The 2,451-nt window shown below is 38.6% G+C and overlaps 1 annotated feature.

Moving 5' to 3' along the window:
* Positions 2,073 to 2,273: a silencer, noted in NCBI's record as "peak313 fragment used in MPRA reporter construct". NCBI's record gives its function as "represses an SCP1 promoter by STARR-seq MPRAs in K562 erythroleukemia cells {active_cell/tissue: K562}" and the evidence as "EXISTENCE:reporter gene assay evidence [ECO:0000049][PMID:32103011]".

A 2,451-nucleotide genomic window follows, 5' to 3' on the forward strand; every position in this document is an offset into this window, starting at 1 on the left:
CATGCTATTTGAACACAAAACACCACAAATGTTCTGTACACTCCCACAGTGCTTAATACATTGCTGAGAACATAAGAGGCACCCCATGAATCCTTGCAGTTTCATGTGTTCATCCCTGTCTATTCAATTATCATTCTGATCATGCTTCTTTAATCACTTGTCTACATTAACATTTACTAAGGCAATCATTTGGAAACAAGTTCCTGGAAAGCTTCATCCAGTGGGGTTTTACACAGTTTCTTTTCATACATACTCAGAACAAAAAATCACAATGAAAACAGTAGAACCAGAAACATGGAAATTTTCTACAGACAGTCAGCAATAAAATAACCTCCCATCCAGGGAGGCTTGATAGTGTAGTTACCTCTGCTTAACTTCCAGGCAGGGTCCCCAGAGGTCTCAAGGGATACAAAGATGTAAGAGTATTGACTAGAAACGAACAGAATAATTTGGGGACAACTGCTACAACATGGAAGTCAGTGAGTAGACTTTAACTCTCACTTTTATAAGTAGTTCTGTAATAACACTTCACTCTCTCACTCCTTAAAGGCAGGGCTCCAGCTTATTCTCCTTTTTTACATTTTCTGTGTGTCTTCCAATGAAATGATCTGACACATGTAGTTTGGGTTCCTGAGCAAAGATCCTTCTGCAGAGGCCTAGTATGTACTAGTTTGTCTCTTCTAGAGATAGAAAATGAAACTCTCATGTATCTATTCCCTAGAACATGAAAACCACCACTTGATTGCTAATCTTGTCACTTGGAAAGTGTTAATTTGTATTAGTTGAAGGCAGATCATCTTGGTCTTTGTTAATATTGTGTTTCTATTCATTTTTGCAATAGAGAAAACACTACTCTAATTGAAAGGCAGCTCCACAGATTCCCAGGTAAGGATAAGAGAAGTATTGCTAATTTGCTCAGTGTCACACCTGCTTTGTTCTTCATTATACCAAGAGAAAAGTCAAAGCTCTCAGATATCCTGCAGGGAGAAAGAGGTGTGTCTGGTTCCAGTTGTTGCCTAGGAACCCAGGCAATCCCAGAGGGCAAAGGATAGCCCTCTCCTTACCCAAAACCTTCATACTAAAATGTAATAATTCCCTCCTTGCAATAATAAACTGTTATTCCAAACTTATTTATTCATTCACTCATAAAAATATTATTGAGGACCCAATAATATTCTTAGGCACCAGATATATATCTCAATAATACCTCTAGGCACCAGAGATATAGCCATGAAAAGAGAGACAAGGTTTCGTTCTTCAGATAACTTGCACATGGTGAGGGAGACAGATATGTAATGTAATTTCAGCAATTAATAAGGGCTACGAAGAAATGCAAAACACGGCAAGGTAATGATGGCAGCAGGAGTACTATTTTACTTATTTTTAAGTTTTATTTTATTTTTAGTGGACACATAATAATTGGACATATTTATGGGACACAGTGTGATGTTTGAATATATTTATACATAGTGTAATGATCAAATCAGGGTAATTATCATATCCATCACCTCAAACACTTACAATTTCTTTGTGAAAAGATCATTCAAAATCCTCTCTTCTAGCTATCTTGAAATATATAATACAGGAATTAGACTCCCTCCCCTCCACCAGGAATTAGAGGTCTACCTCCCCGAGAAATGCATCCCTCAAGAACCTAGGACACTGTCAATCCATTTCAGTCACTTTTTTTCCCTGTAATGTGTCTTGCGTAGTGTTTACGAGCTTTTTCTTTCCTTTTTCTGCATTAGTAAAGCTAATAATAAATGCATAGAGCAATATTTTTAAAGGAGTGCTATTTTAGATAGAGTGGCCATGGTGGCACCTGGAAGGGAAGATATTTGAGCAGAGACCTGATGAAGTAAGAGAGCAAAATGATGCGAAGTTATGGCGGCAGGGCTTTCACAATGAAGTGAGCAAGTACAAAGGCCTGAAAGCAGGGTACTCCTGCATGTGTTTGAAAAACAGTGAGGACAGAGCAATGTCCCCTTTACACTAGGCAAAAGGGGCTCCTGCCTTTGGCCTCTGTTTTAAAAAGACTTGTAGATCACAAACATATACATACACAAATGGCAGGCACATGGGTGTCTATCATGCAGAAGCTGGCGATTTGCTCTGGTTACATCACAACCTGCAGTTTTAAACAGCTGCCCTCATGACTCACTCTCTCCAGGTTCCAGGGAATTGTCCATATGTCTTGACTTACATGCTCAAAACAAAAGGCAACTGTGTCTGAATGCCAGGGTTGGAGGTTCGCTGTGCTGACACACAGGTTTGGAATGCAGTGAGTGAGGTTTATAGACATGAAAGCACTTTAGCTTAAAAAAAAGACAAACTAATTAACTTGTCAAATCCTAAGAAAGCATAAATACAATTGATTTTTGCATAATGAAAATTGTTTCTCAGATTGTTGATGTTCTTGCTTCTCTTTCCATTCCATTTCCCAGCGCTAGC

This window comes from Homo sapiens, chromosome 1 (genome assembly GCF_000001405.40).
Source record: "Homo sapiens chromosome 1, GRCh38.p14 Primary Assembly".
Lineage (NCBI taxonomy): Eukaryota > Metazoa > Chordata > Mammalia > Primates > Hominidae > Homo > Homo sapiens.